Source organism: Homo sapiens, chromosome 6 (genome assembly GCF_000001405.40).
Source record: "Homo sapiens chromosome 6, GRCh38.p14 Primary Assembly".
Lineage (NCBI taxonomy): Eukaryota > Metazoa > Chordata > Mammalia > Primates > Hominidae > Homo > Homo sapiens.
The window spans coordinates 88,876,846-88,896,259 of record NC_000006.12 but is presented as its reverse complement, the minus strand read 5'-3'; the positions used below and the strand labels follow the sequence as shown (position 1 = coordinate 88,896,259).

The 19,414-nt window shown below is 35.0% G+C and overlaps 1 protein-coding gene across 5 annotated transcripts in view; it reads left to right on the top strand.

The window, feature by feature from the left end:
- RNGTT (RNA guanylyltransferase and 5'-phosphatase) overlaps positions 1–19,414 on the top strand; it is a 353,722-nt gene that overhangs the window by 67,359 nt on the left and 266,949 nt on the right. For all 5 annotated transcript variants that reach the window (NM_001286428.2, NM_001286426.2, NM_003800.5 and 2 more), the window contains 2 exons: positions 4,345–4,454; positions 5,664–5,765. In NM_001286428.2, the coding sequence (NP_001273357.1) occupies positions 4,345–4,454; positions 5,664–5,765 (212 nt within the window). The remainder of the gene's footprint in view (positions 1–4,344; positions 4,455–5,663; positions 5,766–19,414) is intronic.

The window sequence follows — 19,414 nt, the reverse complement described above, 5'->3', positions numbered from 1 at the left end:
CATCTTTGTGGGTTGGGAGGGCAGCCCTTAAAGAGAGTTGTTATGCCAGTACCCACAGTGGATTTCTGCTTTACTACAGCTGAGTGGTATAGCTGAAAGGAATTAGTGTAAACACAAGAGGGCCTTTTGAAAGAGATTAGGAAAGCAGTGAGGAGGTATAGAACAGTAGTTTAAATTACTGCCATGGATCTTGGGCTGTGGGAGAATAAGTAGCTTTAAGATGACATGATCTGTCTAGGGAGAGCTAGCTTTTAGTTGAGACACGGTACGGGGTGTTCAAGAAAATGGTTGAGGTGATGGGGAAGGTTATTTATGAAAAAGGAATTCCAGGGTTTACATTGGAACTCTTTGGGAAGGTGATTATTGATAAGATGAACCAAGGAAAAGGGGCTTTAAAGCAGTGAGTACAAAACCATCAGAGAAGAAAGGGGACTGAAGAGTTGAATTGTGGATGGTGTCAACTGTAGTTGACCTATGGTTGACAGGGATGAGAAGCACAGATATAATTACTTATTACATTTATGGTTGGAAAAGCTTTCATTTTTCTTTTATTTCCATCTGAGGTTGAAGATAGTTAACAGAGGCAATCTAAGAGTGACTATTTTATAGATCACATCTCTTGACATAATGAAGGTATTTTTGGTTTGAGACTTTATTTTTGTTAAGTACAGTCTTTTCTGATTCTTATATTGATATAACTATGTATTCAAGTAATGGACTCCTTGTAATTAATTCTGATAGTTCTCTTTGGGTTTATAACTGTGGCACATGTCCGATGCTGTGCTTGGCCCCTTACATTCCTAAGACACCTTCTTTATTCATCTTTTGAGTACATGTGTTACTAAGTTGGAAGAGTATGACTTACAGGTATGTTGCTTACTCCTTGAACTGATGTCTGAGATCATTTCTTTGAATACAACGATGAATGTATTTTCCTCATTATGAAAATATGCCTGTTGTACGTATATTCTTGTATACATTTTCTCTTTACACACACACACACACACACACACACACACACACACACACAGAGCTCTCTCTCACATAAATTGCCTCCATCTTCTGTAATATTTACTAAATTTCTGTCTAAAGGATCACTCATTTCTGTTGTGATAGCCATGCAGATTTTAATTTTAAGGCTAGCTGACTCTGTTTATGAAATATATTTCTATAAACATACTTTTTTAACTTTCGATTTTTCTTTATTTTCACAAACAGAAATAATTTGTTGAAAAGTGAAAATAAATGTCAGTGACTTTAATACTCAATTATAGTATGTTCACAATAATTCCAGACCGAAGACATTGCTATTTAAAATTTATTTTTAAAATTAATTATTTATTTTTTATTTTTATAAATAGAGATGGGTCTCACTGTGTTGCCCAAGCTGGTCTTGAACTCTGGGGCTCAAGCAGTCCTCCTGACTCAGCCTCCCAAAGTGCCGGGATTACTGGCATGAGTCACCACATCTGGCCACTGTTTAGAATTAGTGATCTTTCCATTATAAAGATTTAACTATTTTATGCTGAAGTGGCCATATTTTCAAGGAGTGAAACCATCTCATACATAACAATGAAGGTAGTCAGCTGTAGACTTGGAATGAGATCACATATGGGGATGATATCCTTCTAGTTAGCCTAGTACTGCTGTACTGGTCTGTGTGTACATGCGGTCCTTCAACTCAGGCCTTGCAAGGCATGCCGGCTGTGCCATGTTTGTAAATGGGGCAGAGGAAGCTACAACAATGGAAAACTAAGCTGTTTATGTTAGGTACAGCTATTAAAACAAGGTAGGGATGAGGCTAGGCCCTTAACTTCCCTAAGGCATACTTTTCTAGCTACCTTCTGCCCTGTGTCTGGCACCTACATCCTGGATGATTGTTCTCTTTTATCCATTGTGGATTTTTAAAATAAAATAAATATGAAAAGCATCTTGATCTCTTGTTTGTGAGAGGTGATGCCCTGAGATTTAGCTTCAGGAATATGTCATGGCTCATGCTTCCCATATTTCCCAGGGAGGGAAATACAGGATTTTCTAACACTGGTTAAAAATGCAAATTCAAGATTTGGAAGGGCTGATATAATGAAATAATGAGCAGTATCAGCACGTGCAAAGCTTGTTTAAAAGATTTTATTTTCTCCCCTCTTAGACCTTTTGCACATTTAGAATCTTGAAACAGTTTCTAGATCTCTAACATGAAAATGAAGATGGGTATTTTCAGGTTGCTTTCAGCTCTAGGTAGAAATAACCAGAATTGGCTTACATTAAAGAAACTGCATCTAGAAATAAATAAAAAAATTAGTGGTCTTTCTTGGAGTTATATAATTTTGAATAATATAAAAATGGTATTTTGTCAGAACTATTGTAGTAACATTAAATAGCAAATTATGTTAGCCTAAAGTTACCAAGGATGATTTGTGTATGAAGTGTATCATACTTTTTTTTATTGGACTTCTACCTTTCTTTTTACTTATTTGTTGTGGAAGAAAATAGAGGAAGTTAAAAAAGAAGTTGATGCATGGTAGGAAAGATTAAGGAAGAAGAACAATAAATGGATGACAGACATTTACTAGGTGATTGGGGTTAACTTTTATAACCAGACTCAGTAGTTGTTAGATCTGTACTGATGCTCAGTATTTATTGGCTCTGTTAAATTAAAAATATTCAGCTTTTTCAACCCCATAGAAATGTTATTAAAATATTTCTGTGGTAATATTGTGGGAAAGTGCTTGGTTGAATGTGATCATATTTTCTATGTGTTAGTCCTTTTTATTATATGTTAAAAATATAAATAGTGTTTGTGTTTTTAGTAGTAACTTAGGTTAATTTGGCCTTTGCTTTTATTTTGCCCATTTCAGAAGTTAATGTAAATTTCTTAACTTTGCATAGGAAATCCACGTTGATAAATGAAGCTAGAGACTTTCTTTGTGTAAAACTTAAAAAGAACATCTCATGCTGTTAATACCATCAGAATTAGGATGCTTAATATTGAACTCTCTAAAAAGAAGTGTTCTTTTTTAATTAGCATAAGAAACAATTTTTTAAGGATATTGAAATTATCTGAGCACTCAATAAGTAAATATGTTACAAACCTCATCTATCTGGTTGAGCTTTCTTTTAAAAATACTCTTTTTTTCCTTTAGCTGTTGTACTTAATGATAAAAATGGTTTTAAACAGAAATGCCATTGGCTAGTACAGAGAAATAATGGTATAATAGTAGAGGGATGGTACTCTTTGATCCTTGGGCTTATGAAATTCCTAAATTTTGGTTATTTAAGGAAAGCAAAGTAGAAGACAGATAAGTACAAAAAGTGCTTCAAAATTAGGGACAAAAAGTAGGACTAGTGTCTGCTGGAAGGACTCAGGATTCTTCCAGATTTGACAAGAATGTATGTGGATGAAGTATTAATTGTTCTTTTTTTCTTTTCTCAAGTGGCTCAGATTGCCAGGTCTTTGCCAGAAGGTTGAACGTTGTAGCTTGTAGACTAACTTTTTTATTGCCTAATTACATTAACAGCTAGAATTGTTTTATAGATTTTTCTTAAGACTGATGCCAGTCCCTTTATGGACCTTAAAAGAACTGTAGCATACATCTAGACTATTTTTTTTAGGTTTAAAAATTTCCAGAAGGGTTCCTTATTTGTTTGATATTCTCTGTCTGCTTTACTTCGCTGTGATATTTCAAAATATGTAGTTCTGAGTTAAAAAATTTAGATTAAAAATTCCATGATGAGTAATATTTTGTTCTATTAGTATGTTAATATATCCAATGACTGTGGCTTAGCCACTTTGCCTACACTCTTACTCTGGTTTACAAAGATAGAGGTTTTGGTGTTTATCCCCTTAAAGTCCATACTTCATTCATAGTAACACAGCTCCTTTCCCCTTCTCTCCATTGGTGGTTGGTATAGTGTAGGCCTGTTCAAATTCTGTCTTTTACCACTTGATTTACATAAAATCTTTGTGCCTTATTTACTCATCTTTGAAATAAATACAGTACAGTCTATTTTTTCAGTGTTGTAAGGATTAGAGAGAATGTTTGCAAGATGCCAGACATTCTGCTTGGATCTCAATAAATGGTAGATAAATTATTATTACTGTTATGATTTGAGAAGTGCCTATAGAGTACATACGTATATTGAAGAAAACCATGTGCTGGATTTAGGAAAACTAGTGTACAATCTTAGGGGAGTTTATACAGCAGACCGTTTCTGTTAGATATATTGACTTGCTAAGATTTGTGAGAACAAACTAATTTATCTCTCAGTCTCTTCTTTGTAAATGAATTTGAACTCTAATAAAATATTTTTCTTTCCCTTATTTTTCTTATTTTTTTTTTAAAGGGCGCTATTTTCTTGGAAGGTGTTACTGTTAAAGGTGTAACTCAAGTAACAACACAACCAAAGTTAGGAGAGGTACAGCAGAAGTGTCATCAATTCTGTGGCTGGGAAGGGTAATAAATATTTTTAAATTTTTAAATAAAATTTGCTCTTATTTTACAACACTTAATACAAGCATTGACATATCTTCTTGGCTCCTTGAAGTTAGTATGTTTGCAATAGAATACTTTAAAGGTGTCAGATTTCGTTCAAGACAATCAATGCAATAACCAGACAGTTGAGTCAAAATTAGATGACTCACATATTTTCCTAAAGTAATAGAAAATTCTTGTTTTCACTGTCTAGTATTTGTTTCGTGTCTTTGACTCTACTGCTACTGATTAATGTTTGAGCTAGTCTCTCAATTTGATAAGAGGGAAGAGGTGAAATTTGGATCTGCCTCATTTTCCAGTTTTTCTGTAATCAGAAGTCTAGGAAAATCAGCTTTAAATATAAGCAGTGAATGCCATGACTTGAAAATATCTTTCAGACATTTCGTAGTGGATTCAGGAGAGCATACATTGCTCTTATCTGTTGCTCTCAGGTCTTGGCCTGTGGTCATTTCTGCTGATCATTGGTATCTGTGGCAGAGAACTGTAATACAGTTGAATGTAAGGAAAAAGGATTATTGTTAATTCCTAATATAAATTCCTAATGAAAAGAACTTTTATTACTGTTACATAAATACTAGATAAATCATCTAGAAGTAGTTTTAACTAAAATATGAAAACAATGAAGAAATAAGATCGGTTTTAATGTTGTGTTAAACCTTAATCTTGACCTACACCCTTGGTTTTAATGTTGTGTTAAGCCTTAATCTTGACCCATATTTCTCCTGTTTTGTCACTTCTGGGTATCTTTTGAGGAGAAAGTTGCCAACCTTGCAGTTATGTCAAGTTGGCAGTCTCACGTTGGGGAAATATGGGGTCTAGAATATCATGTAAAGTAATTAAGCCAAGATTTAAACTTCTTCCTGAAGTACAAGACTTGTAAACATACCTGCTTTACTATTTAGATCATATATACTAATATTTTAAAATTAGCTCAGTGATTATACCATAGCAGTGGTAATTTAGAACTCTGTTAACTTGCATTCTAAAATGTCAAGAAAATGATAATCTTTTATTAGTATTTTTGTGAAAGCGGATGTTATTCCAGCTGACATTAATCTCATCATAGGGAGAACATTGTGATAAATGTGTGATTCATTTGAGATTGGTTTAAGACATGTATTGCTTTGTATGGATACCAGCCACGATAGTAATACTGTGTTCTTCTTTAAGGTCTGGATTCCCTGGAGCACAGCCTGTTTCCATGGACAAGCAAAATATTAAACTTTTAGACCTGAAGCCATACAAAGTAAGCTGGAAAGCAGATGGTACTCGGTAAGTTAGACTTCTAAAAAAATTACACAAATAACCCTAATGCTTGAAGAATATTGTTTTATTGTTAGAAAAGTTTACACTCTTGAGAGTGTGAATTTCTAATGTGAATAGCAAAATAAATGTTTCAAAAATTATATATTTTTGGTTTTGCTAGTGTTCTAAGCTGTATAGCACAAGTTATCTCTCATTCTGCTAAATTTTTGGTTTCAGAGCTTAGCTAGTTTAACATAAATCTATAACTAGATGTTAAGTTTGAAAGTGTTTTTCTCTTAATGATATGGTTTTTGGTATGTCTGCTGCCCACTGCCTTGTTTTTTAATGATATTGGACATGTTGAGGTTAATAGATAAATTGCCAGTTTGTAATCTAAAAATGATGAACTCTCTCTGATTCATTCTGTATTCTCCTTTGAATAATTTGCCTTATTCTCTTTATATACTCGCAAGGTTGTTGCATTATTACAACAAAGCTTAATTTCAAATTTTATATTTCTAAGTTTTAAGATTTTTTTAATTTGAGACAGGATCTTGCTCTGTCACCCAGGCGGCAGTGCCTTAGCACGATCAAGGCTCACTGCAGCCTTGAACTCCTGGGCTCGAGTAATCCTCCCACCTCAGTCTCCTGAATAGTAGCTTAGCCTCCTGAGTAGCTGGGATTATGGGAATGTGCCACCCTGCCTGGCTATTTTTTAAATTTTTTGTAAGGATGAAGTCTCCTTATGTTGCCCAGGCTGGTCAAGATATTAGTAGAAATTTTATTCTTCCTCAGCAACATTTTATTTTTTTCTTTTGTAATCCATATTTTTTTGCATCTATTACAGTTTTGCTATATGTATGTATTCATTTAGCAAGTTGAAATAATTATTTTAACAGATATTAACATAGAAGTCATTAACTATTTCATAATAAAATGTTTTGGAATAACTGGCAGTACATATATATTAGCTTTTAAGTGTTATTTTGAAGATGACAGATTCTATTTAATTTTTATGAGTTTTGGAAAGTCTTAAGTGGCAGTTATACTCTTTGTATCATGCCATCTCCATCTCCATTTAACATGTAGTTACCTTAAAAGATATATATGGAGAAAAGAAGTGGAGCAGATACAACCTATTTTCATTATTAGGTGACTATAATGATATTTTAACATTATATGCTTTCTAGAATGTTTAAGTATTTTATTATATTTGATTTTTATTGGGAATATTTAAAAATATTTTCATTCATTTTAATTGTCTGCCTCTGTTGGAAACAATTTTTCCCCTCAGTTTAGCATTTTTTAGCTTTTTTAGGGTATTTTATAGGTAAGACATATTCATTTGACAAAATTCAGAAAATAACATTAAAAAAGAAGAAAATAAAAAAGAAATTTTATCACCTAGAGATTATCACTACTGTCCTTATGGTATTGACCTTTTTCTCTGGGTTATATGGCAGGTGTGGTTTTTATTATTATTATTATTTTTTGAGACGGGTTTTCACTCTTGTTGTCCAGGCTGAAGTGCAATGGCACGATCTCGGCTCACCACAACCTCCGCCTGCCAGGTTCAAGCGATTCTGCTGCCTCAGCCTCCCAAGTAGCTGGGTTTATGGCATGTGCCACCACACCTGGCTTATTTTGTATTTTTAGTAGAGACAGGGTTTCTCCATGTTGGTCAGGCTGGTCTCGAACTCCCTATCTCAGGTGATCCACCTGCCTTGGTCTCCCAAAGTGCTGGGATTACAGGTGTGAGCCACCGTGCCTGGCCTGTGGTTTTTATTATTAATGCTTTGTGTACTAATTCAAGTAGTTAAATAACAAGTATTTGATATTTATATGTTTATTTGTTCATATTATTTTGAACTTCCTTAATGAACTAGCCTTAAAAATTAATAATAATGTATAATGCAAAATTGAAACAGTGTAGAAATGAAAAAATGTGCCTTGTGTGCTTGCAGCAGTTATACAAAGAAAGATATAGATCCATAAACAGAATTTGGATCATTTACCCATTCTGCACCCTTCCCTGTGGATATGTGTTTTTGATGGATAAATGAAAATTAGCCTTTCTGCTTATTTTCAGAATATTAAAATTATATTTATTTAATATGTTGGGTTAGATTATGTTCAGAATCTATTAAATTGGTAGTAAGGATGTTAAGGATGTTGTTGAGACATACATTTTAATAGATACGTAAAAATGTCTTAACAAATGTCTTACTTCTGTGGGTGGAGAAAGAGTGGAAAACGTGAGGTCAAGGTGTCTATCTCTAGGCTTTACACTACGAAATGAACTGGGGATTTGGGATTGAGGCATACATTTAACCTCTTAGGAGTTTCATATTTTAGGTACTCTTTTTTTTTTCTGTTGAAATTTATTTTATTATCTTATTTTTTTGAGACAGGGTCCTCACTCTGTTGCCTAGGCTAGAGTGCAGTGGCACAGTGATTGCTCACTGCAACCTTGACCTCCTGGGCTCAAGTCATTCTCCCACCTCAGCCTCCAGAGTCGCTGGGATTACAGACATGCACCACTATGGCCAGCTAATTTTTAAAATTTTCTGTAGAGATATGATCTTGCCATGTTGCCCAGGCTGGTCTTGAGCTCCTGGGCTGTAGTGATCCTCCTGCCTTGGCTTCCCAAAGTGTTAGGATTACAGGCATGAGCCACCACATCTGGCCTTATATACTCTTTACTTTCTGCATTGCTTTCTTCACAGTATCATGGTAAGCTTTGGGCAAAATAATAAAGCCTGCAAAATTTGTCTCTTGTTTCTGCCATCCAACTTTTGTTGATTTTGTTCCTCCTCTGTAGTTGTGTACCCCTTTCTCTGTGTGTTGGTATTGTTAGACCCCTAGATGATTGGCTAAAGTAATTTTTTATGAAGTAATTGGTTAAGATGTTTTTGATTGCTAATGGAAATATCTAATTTCTCCTAGAACCAGGCTCCACCAAAAACAAAAGGAAAACCCTGAGTATTTATTGAATACCTACTCTGTTTTAGGATACTTTTTTCTGGGAGAGAAAAAATTTTGCAAGGTGTTTCTGGGCCAGTGTAAAATCTATCTTTTGCGCACTAGGATTTAAGTACAGTAGCATGGAAGAGGGACTTTCTGTGATTGAATAAGGTGAAAAGAGCCTGAGGAGGCTGTAGAATGGTCTTAGAGGCTATGAAATAAGAGTAACTGATTAATAGCTATGAGTCCTGGACTCCATCGTCGTTAAAGCTATGTCAGGATACAGTGTAGGATTTCTTTTTATTATCCTTATTTCATAATTTAATGGCAATTTATTATATCTCGTAACAATATTTAAACCAAGGATCTCTGAAATTGAGTGTAATAGGAAACCTGGATATAGTTAACAGTAAAAGGTATTGTGTAAGAATTTTGCATTAGCCTGACCAAGGCCTGAGGGCCTGGAGATAACAGTAAGTAGAGTGGCTTTTTTTTTTTTTTTTTTTTTTTAAAGAAATTGTGTTTTGCTATGTTGCTCAGGATGGTCTCAAACTCCTGGCCTCAAGTGATTCTTCCCTGTTGGCCTCCTGAAGTACTGGGATTATAAGTGTGAGCCATTGAACCCTGCCTGGAGTGGTTTTGACAGGAAACTTTAATGGATTTGAAAACATTGTAGAATAGGGAATATTTCTGAAATGTAAAGCCAGGTAATAGAAACAGAAATATGAAAGTTATTGAAAATGAAACAGTGAGAAATTTATATTAGTTGTAATAGGTGAATTGATGGAGACTAAGCCACTGTAATCTCAGAAACAGATGAAATGAAAGTTTGTTTGATGGAAGAATTAATTGTGTTTCGTGTATTTCAATAAACTCATACTTTTAAAAATGAGATGTCTTTAGTTTTTATAGTTCTGAGTACTTTTGGTTGCAGTTTTTGATCTCTAATAATTAAGCATTTAAAAAATCTTCTAATTTGGAATTATGTCAGACTTAGTAAGTCTTCCAAAAATAGTACAAAGAATTTCCATGTGCCCTTAACCAGATTCCTCAAATGTTAACATCTTATATTATTACAGTACAATGGCCAAAATCAAGACATTAACATTGATGTATTGATTATTGACGTTATTCAGATTTCACCAAAAGTGTCAATATTATGCCCTGTTTCTGGTCCAGGATCCAGTCCAGGATCACGTGTTTCATTAGGTTGCCATGTCTCTTCTTTTTTCTGCAATAATTCTTTTTTTTTTTGAGACGGAGTCTCGCTGTTGCCCAGGCTGGAGTACAGTGGCGCGATCTCTGCTTACTGCAGGCTCCGCCCGCTGGGTTCACGCCATTCTCCTGCCTCAGCCTCCCGAGCAGCTGGGACTACAGGCGCCCACCACCTCGCCAGGCTAATTTTTTTGTATTTTTAGTAGAGACGGAGTTTCAACGTGTTAGCCAGGATGGTCTCGATCTCCTGACGTCGTGATCCGCCTGCCTCGGCCTCCCAAAGTGCTGGGATTACAGGTGTGAGCCACCGCGCCCGGCCTCTGCAATAATTCTTTAGGCTTTCTTTCATAACTTTGACACTTTTGAATAGCATTGGCCAGTTATCTTGTAGCTTGTCTCTCAGATTGAGTTTGTTTGATGTTTCCTCATGATTCAAGTTGGGCATGCTTGCAAGAACATCACAGTAGTAATATTCTTCATGTCATTTCAGGAGGCACATAATGTTGAATTCTCCTATTAGTGATGATGTTAACTTTGATCTCTTGATTTAGTTGGTGTGTGCCAGATTGATGAAGTTATTTCTGTTTATTATTTTATTTTTGGTTTGTACTTTATTTATTGATAAAGGCATGTCTGCCATGATAAAGTTATTTTTCCTTTGTACTTAAGAAGCTGTGAGGGAGATACTCTGAGATCATGTAAATATCCTATTTCTTATACTTTTCGCCATTATTTTTAACATTCATTAATGATTCTTACCTGAAACAGTTACCACTGTTATGTTTGCTAAGTGGAATAGTGGAATTCAGCTCTTAGGAAGAACTTTCCCTTCTTTCTCATTTCTTTATTTTCTTGCTTTTTTTATTCCTATCAGTGTGGACTCATAGACACGTATTATATTCTGTGGGTTATAATCTGTTTTAGTAATTATTTTATTGCTCCAAATGTCTCATTTGACCGTTGAGAGCCCCATCAAGTGACTCCTGTCTTTTGACATCTCTCCCTCATTTTTTGAGTACTTTCTTGTTTCTGGCACCCCTAGATGTTGTGGACTTACCTTGTACTTTTCCTACCCCAGCCCTGGAATCAACTGTTTCTCTAAGGAGTGGTATTTAGAAACCAATTTTTGTGCACAAGTTGGGCTCATTAGTACTGGGATGTCATTTCTTCTAGGCCCTCTCAGAAGATAGAGCTAGGAAATATGTGTGTGTGTGTGTGTGTGTGAGTATATACATAAATACACACCTATATCTATTTCAGTATCTGTCTGTATGTATGTGTATGCATACATTTTTTTTTCAAAATCACGAGTTCGTACTGATACTTCCAAATCTAATGCACTGCCATAGGATTTATTGAATTTTTTCTCATTTTCTATTTGTAACTCCTCTCTCTGATAGGGAGACACTTGGTTTTCATTATCCATAATATTTACTATAATACACATAAAGTAGTTTTGGAATTGCTATCCAAAGCCACTGTGAGAAATCCATTTGAATAGAGTGTAATATTTGTGAACAGTTGGTCTGACTTTAGCCTTAGGGTATATAAAGTGTACTGTGTTCCAAAGTTACTTAATTATTTTCTCTCTTCCTGCCAAACCCTTTAGTGTAGATAGTTTTCATTTGTAATACAATTAGTTTCATTTGTTTCTGCTTATATTCTGAGTTTGCCCTCATCCTTTGTTGATTTTAATTTTTCATTTTTCTGAGTGTGTGAAACTCTACTATGATTCAGAGTATGCTCTGAGAAATGTTACTTTCTCCTATCCCTTTTAACCCTTTCCCTTTCTCTTATCTTTTCATTCTGTTCCTACCCACCCCCTTAAATAATCAGCCTCATCATTTTCTGATTTACCCTTCTTGCATTTCTTTTTGTACAGATGAGCAGATGCACTTTTCTTTTTCCCCTTTCTTTTAGGAAAGATACCATACACTTTAGAATTAGATAGTCTTTTCACCTTGCTTTTTCCACTTAACAGTATGTTCTAGAAACCACTGCATTTCACTTCAGATATTCTCATTCTTTTTTTACAGCTGCATTGTACCCATTGTGTGAGTAGTTTATTCAACGACTCTCCTATATAGAGATATTTAGATTGTTTCCAGTATTTTGTAATTACAAATGATGCTGTGATGAATAACTGTGAGCTGACTTTCCCTCCATATTGTTGAAAGTCTAACCTCAGGGTCAATTTCTAGAAAGAAGGATTGCTGAGTTGAAGGCTGGGTGTATATGAAGTTTAGTTAGATACCACGAGTTTCTGCTCCAAAAGGGTAGTGCCAGATTGTATTCCCACAGGCAGTTTGTGAGAATGCCTGTACCACCACAGCCTTGCTAACAGAATGTGTTGGCAAATTTTTTCACCAATCTGGTTAGTGAGAAATGGTATTTCATTCTAGTTTTAATTCTGAATGGAGTCAAACATCCTCTCATATGTTTAAGGGCTATACTTATCTTTTTTGTGAATTATCTGTCCTTGTTTCTTTTCTGTTGTCTTTTGACTTTGTTCATGTTTTTTTGCCATACAAAATTTTATTATTTTTATGAAGTCAAGTTTATTAATTTTTATTGCCTCTTGATTTTGATTTATAGTTAGAAAGCCTTTCCTTATACTGAGATTGAAGAAGAATTCTCTCATATTTCTTCTAATATTTGTATGGTTTGATTTTTTTAATCTGGAAGACTTTTTAAATTATAGGCAATCTAACATTTCTACAAATTTAAAAACTCCTTTTATTGTCATTGTTATTATTATTACTTTGCTGTGAAGAATTAATGCATAAATTCATTTTGAGTGAAGGCTGTCTTCTAAGGTTGGAACTGAGTCATGCTGATCCACTTGGAAGTATGTCATCCTGATAGTGACCACCTTGCCTGTGTACTGGGTGTTAATATACAGAAGGCTTATTTTAAATGTACTATTCAGCAGTGTGTTTTGTTATTTCTTTGCAGTATGTTTTATAATAATGGAAGGCTTTTGAGATGAGAAATATATGGTTTTGGTAGGAGTTGAGGTCAAAAGGAAGGCCTAGTATCTCTAATTCTGATCCACAGGGTTCTAACTTAACTTTGCAAAGTAAGACATGGATTTACAACTGTTTTATATAGTGCATGCTGTGCACCTACTTCCCAAATGCACTTCGATTTTTTTTTTTTTTTTTTTTTTTTTGTCATAAAGAGTCTGGGCTCCTTCCTGTTCTTCTCTCTACAACTCAGCCTGTACCTGAGTGGTACTAGCTATTCTTATATTGCTTTTCTATGGAGGAAAACACAGTCTTCTAGAGCTGAAATCTTAAGAATGTTTTGGGAAGATTAGAGAGCTTCTTTAGAAAAAGTTTCCAGGCATTTAATCATACTTAGTATCTTAGTTCATTTGTGCGGCTATAGCAGGATACCTCAGATTGGGTAATTTATAAACAACAGAAATTTATTTTTCATAGTTCTGGAGGCTAGGAAGTTCAGAATCAAGATGCTAGCAGGTTCAGTATTTGGTGAAGGTTGCTCTTTGTTTCCAAAATGATGCCTTGTTGCTGCATCTTCCCATGGCTGAAGGGGCGAATGCTTTGTGCTCAAATGGTGGAAGAGCAAAAGGGCCTGGCTAGTTACCACCAGCTCTTTTGTAAGATCACTAATCCCATGCATGAGGGCAGAGCCCTTGTGGCCTAATCACCTCCTAAAGGTTCCATCTCTCAGTACTGTTGCACTGGAGATTAAGTTTCACCATGAATTTTCAAACCGTAGCACTTGGTTATATTTTAACTTGTTGAATTTTTGAATTTTTAAATTTTATTTAACTTTTTCCTGAGCTTTGAAAATTATTTCTTGTTACATTCCCCACCACTAAGACTTTAGTAATACACTAAATTATAGTTTCTGTTTCTTGGATTCCTCTGTGTGTCAGGTACTGTGCTAGGTTCTGGGGAAACAGCAGTGAGCAGTGTGGATACTGTCCCTATCTCATAGAACTTGCAGATAACTATTTAACTAATAATAAATTATTTGTGGATAATTGATTAACAGCTTGGCACAAATTCAATTTAGAGCTTCAGCACATATCTCATAGCCAGATAAATTCCCAGTTGATTAAATAAGTGTAAATAAAATTTATTTTCTGAGAAAACAAGATAGCAGAATAAATTAGGTTAGGTATACCTCTGGCACATGTTTCCTCAGCATTCTTTGGATATTTAGGTAGTTGGACCTTGGGTTTAGGAGAAGAATATGGATTGAAAGTACAGATTTGGGAGACAATAGTATGTGATAGTAAAGACAGGGATGTGGACAGGCTGTTGAGTAGAGGAAGCAATGGTGACTGAGAGTAGGGGAGGTGGGAGAAAACCAGGAGAAATATCTGTCATTCAAGCTAAGGGAAAGTAAAAATGTCTCCAAAGAAAGGTTAAATCTTATAGAGAATTAGTAAGCTAAGGAGTGAAAAGTGTCTGTTGAATTTAGCAACAAGATATTTGGGATTGGGTTGGGATGTTCTCAGTTTTTGTATAGTATAGAGTAGGGCAGTGGGAGTAGGTTGAAAGTGATGACACTTTTCCTTTAAACATTTCCTCTCTTTCTTCCTTTGGCTGTTGTTAACAAATGTCTCTCCTGAGGGAGATTCCAAGACAGCAAAGAGAACATTATTAAGAGTTAGTGAAAGTACCTTATTTCATCCAAGAGACAGGTATGGCAGGGCTTTTTATCTGTCAGTGTCTGCCTGCCTGCCTGTCTGTCTCACATTGAAATTCAAATGTGAGATAATTGGCAAAAATTGTTCATTAACTTGTGTATTTGGAATAAAAATGAAGTTGGACTTTTCCTATCAGATAGTGGGACTTTCGATTTGGCTGAGGTTTTGCTAGTGAGAGTTGGTCAAATGAGTTTTACATAGCAAGCATTTTTGTGTAGATTAAATCAGCCAAAACTGCAGTTTTGGGATTTTGATGAAAATAGACTTCAAGCATTTGATAAAATAAAATCATTTTATTTAGCCATAATATTGGTGAAGGTGTATTGAAATATAACACTCCCTCTGCCCCCTGCCCCCACTTTCAGAGTTAAACAAAATGATTCTCAATGAAAGACTTGCAGTTACACTTGATAGTCGCTTTACTATGTCTTTATGCCTCCTTGATTAGATTGTCCTTCAATTTTGTTGAAAGCTGCCAAATAATCAAAGTGTATTTTAAAGGAACTCGTTGAATTTCTGACATTCCCTAAAATACATTTAACTTTTTTCTTAATATTTCTTTTGTCTTGAGTACTCTTGTTTCATTATTTTCATGGCTTTCCCCAGGAGGGGGGAGTCAGTTCTACTTGAGTGTAAATATAATACCAGGAAAAGTGATATAATGTTACTACAGTTACAGTTGGAATTGAACTGTCTTGTAATTGTGAAATCTGCTTTTTCACACATATTCTGGGAAAAGATAGAATTTTATAATAGGATTTATCTGTGTACTTAGTTTATTAGCAGATTTTGTAATGCAATTAAATAAATTGTCTTCAAAATAATTCAACATCAATTGAAAGTGATGAAGACTTAGAACTATATAAAAATTTTAGAATTAATTTTCATGCCTTTTATTTTAATTCTTTCTGCTGAGAGTTTGAGTACTATAAATTTAATTTCAACTATTATTGAATCAGTAGGTAAAAACCAAATGGTTTTAATAAGTACTGTTGTAAAACAAATAGTAAAGTAAAAGATAATAACTCAGATTATGCTCGACACAGGAAAAATGTAAGGCTGTGGGAATAATGTAACAGACCAACAAAAGGGCTGGTGCTATGGTTGCAATTTTTACATATGTATCTATATCTGTATTTATATCTTTTGACTTACATATTTATATAATACACACACATATACAAGCATACCCTGCTTCAAGAAAAACTGAATATAAAAGGTAAATTTGGGACTTGCTTTATAAGGAAAATTATTGCAGGGAATAAAAAAGCCACTTAGGCATTTATGGAAATGTAATTTATATTCAGCTTTTTATAACACATCTGTTTAAGTAGGTGAGGTACATTTGTATAATACTTCTTGAAGGAAATTATAGACAGGTTTATTTTCCTGCATCCTGGTCTGGGAATTTCCTCCCTCCCTCCCTTCCTTCCCTTCTTCCTTTCATTCATTCATTCATTCATTCATTCATTCATTCATTCAGAAATTATATTGGAAACTTATTTACCCCTAGGGCTCTGTGTTAGGTGCTGCATGGATTAGGACTGCTTAAGACAGAATCCTCAGCTTTAAGTTTTTCCTGTAATCCAGCTTTAAGTTTTCGTTCTAAACTTTTTCTGTGAAGGACGTAGTAGTAAATATTTTATCATTTGTGGGTTGTGTGGTCTCTGTCTCAGATAAAAAGCAGCCATATCCCCCTGATTTTACATAAACCAAATGATGTATTTCAATAACATTTGGTGGGTGTATTTCAATAAAATTTTATTTACAAATTAGCAGGTCACATTTGGCTTTTGGATCATAGTTTGACAACCCATCATTGAATACATTCTCCTTAAAAGACAGTCTTTACATCTTAAATGTTCTTTCTTTGTAAGAAAGTGTAAAAAGTGAGCTTAAGGTAGGGAAACATATTTAATATAAAGATTTTTTAAAATTTGCTTTTTTAAAGTTTTGAAGTAAGATTTCTTCCCATTAATTGTAAGTTCATGCTAAGCCATTGGTACTTTGACAAGATTTTTTATGTAATTTACTAAATGTATACATTTGAAAGACAAATTTTTTTTTTCTCATGAAAATCGTGTCCTATGCCTTTGTTAGAGCAGGGTGCTCAATGTGTGGTCATACTACATGTGCCCTAACAAATACACTTCGTGACTTGTGAATAGCGTGTTGTAGAAATAGTTGTTGTGTGGATAAACTGCAGTATGTTTAGGCAGCTTCTGTATTTGCTGCTGTAACAGTATTTATTTATTTATTTATGTAGAGACGGAGTCTCACTCTGACACCCAGGCTGGAGTGCAATGGCGTGGTCTCAGCTCACTGCAACCTCTGCCTCCTGGGTTCAAGTGATTCTCCTGCCTCAGCCTCCTGAGTAGCTGGGACTACAGGCGCATGCCACCACACCTGTCTATTTTTTGCATTTTTAGTAGAGACAGGGTTTCACTATGTTGCCAGGCTGGTGTCAAACTCCTTACCTCGTGATCTGCTCGCCTCAGCCTCTCAAAGTGCTGGGATTACAGGCATGAGCCACCGCGCCTGGTCTCTAAAGGTTTTTATACAGAAACATGCAGTTACCCCAGGTGGTTAATAGCTTGCTTGGGTCCCTTGATATGTATCTCATTAATAATGTTTGTAGTGTATGTTTATGCTAATGACTGGAGCCGAATGTTCAGACAGGTATAGTGTGGATAAGGTAATGAGATGCTAGACTAGAAAAGTTTTACATGCTGAGGAGAATATTAAAGAGGTTTCAGATGTCTCTGGAATAATTTTCAGTGAACTACAAACAAAAAAGTATATCTTATTTAGGAACAGAATGAGTCAAATTATGATCAATTAGGTATTGTGTATACTGCTTTCATTTAGATTTGTTCACTTAGCTCTTTATAAATTTCTTTTTGGCTCTAGTTTTCTTCTGAAAGCAAAGCAAATAGCTCCTGATATGTAACATAAGAACTAGAGATGAAATGAATATTGGAATTAAATAAGAATTTATCTCCTATCTTATTATTTACAAACAAATATCAGTTATAGCCATGACATCATATCTAGTATTCAGGAATTCAGCAGTAAATAAAGTTATGTCTGGGAAGGACTTTTACTTTTTTAATTGTTCTGGGGAAACTTAGAGTTTTTGTGGAGGTGTCTGAGGGACCAGACTCCACAAAAGTAAAATATTTGTTTCAAATCATGTAAGTAGATAGTGGCAAAATCAGCATCATTCTGTATTCTAGTACTTGGGCTTTTATAATTAGGTTTTGGCTGGGCGTGGTGGCTCATGCCTATAATCCCAGCACTTTGGGAGGCCGAGGTGGGTGGATCACTTCAGGTCAGGAGTTCGAGACCAGCCTAACCAACATGGCAAAAACCTGTGTCTACTAAAAAATAGAAAAATTAGCCAGGTGTGGTGGCTTGCATCTGTAATCCTAGCTACCTGGGAGGCTGAGACACGAGAAACGTTTGGACCCGGGAGGCGGAGGTTGCAGTGAGCCGAGATTGTACCACTACACTTCAGCCTGGGCTACGGAGAAAGATCCTGTCTCAAAAATAAATAAATAAATAAATAAATAAATAAATAAACAAATGAAATTAGGTTTAAGGTAGTTTTTCCTCATAATAATGGAAATTATACTAACTATACTAATTTTAGGACTCAGTTAATGTTTAGTGTCATACCTCTGGTGATAACCAAAACTCTTAGAGAGAATGTAAGCCAGATCTCGTCATTTAAAGACCCCAGCCCTGTTTTTAATAGTAGTTTCATCAGAACTATAGTTAGGGATCCAGGCCAGTTTCCTTGCAACTGGATGGGACACAATAAAGCTCCTGTGTTTCTTTTTTATCACGGGGAAGTGAGACTACCAGAGAATATTTAGAGGTCAACTCAGAAACACTGTTTATTGATCTGAAGCTACGTTTGATGGTATCTTGTGGTAAATTGGTTTAAAAAGAAGGACTCTTTGACTCCCTCCCCAAGCCTAAATCTTTCTTTAAGTCCCCCTATATGAAACAGATAAAAGCAGTAATGCTTTGGTTGCTGCAAATTGAGGAAAGCATATGGGGTTGCATTCTGGTGTGGCGTCTGAGGTTACCATGGAACTTTTTAGGGCAGCATTTCCAGTTGCGCTACCATCATAGGAAACTTTTATTAAAAAAAAATTCAGAGATTCAAATTCATTAAGCCTGGATTGGTTCTGAGAAAATGCATTTTTGAAAAGCACCCCGATTACTTGTGATTTTTAACCTGATTTGGGAGCCGCTATCTGTAGTGCCTCATGGAACAAAATTTAAAAATCAGTGACCCAATTCAAAGTAGTATTTAGCCAGCTATTGAGTTAAGAACATATCTGAGAATTTCTCTGTTAGTTGGTGGAGACCCACATAAAATGCTTATTATACAGCACTCAATGCATATTAGTTATTGTTGTTATAACTGAAGACTGTTTTGAAAACCATTATTACATGAGAACCAACATTGATTTCCCAGAGTTCACTCAGAATTCTTTTAGGGTGTGGTATAGTTATTGCACAAGAAGAAAATTAAGCAAAGGCAAAACAATCTAACATTTTAAAACCAAATCTTTGAAATACCCATTGGTTAGTAGTCACATCTTTAGGATTTACTAAAGGATAAAAAGGTCCCTTAAATAGCAGTTTCTTTAATCAAATCCTAAGTATGAGAGTTACTACTAGTTAATAGAGATACTGTCTTTGAAATGGTATTTAAAAATAAAAACCAACCAAATTTATTACCTATTACCAAAATCTGCTAGAGAACTCTTAGAGCTGAGCAGATACAGATAAAACTTTG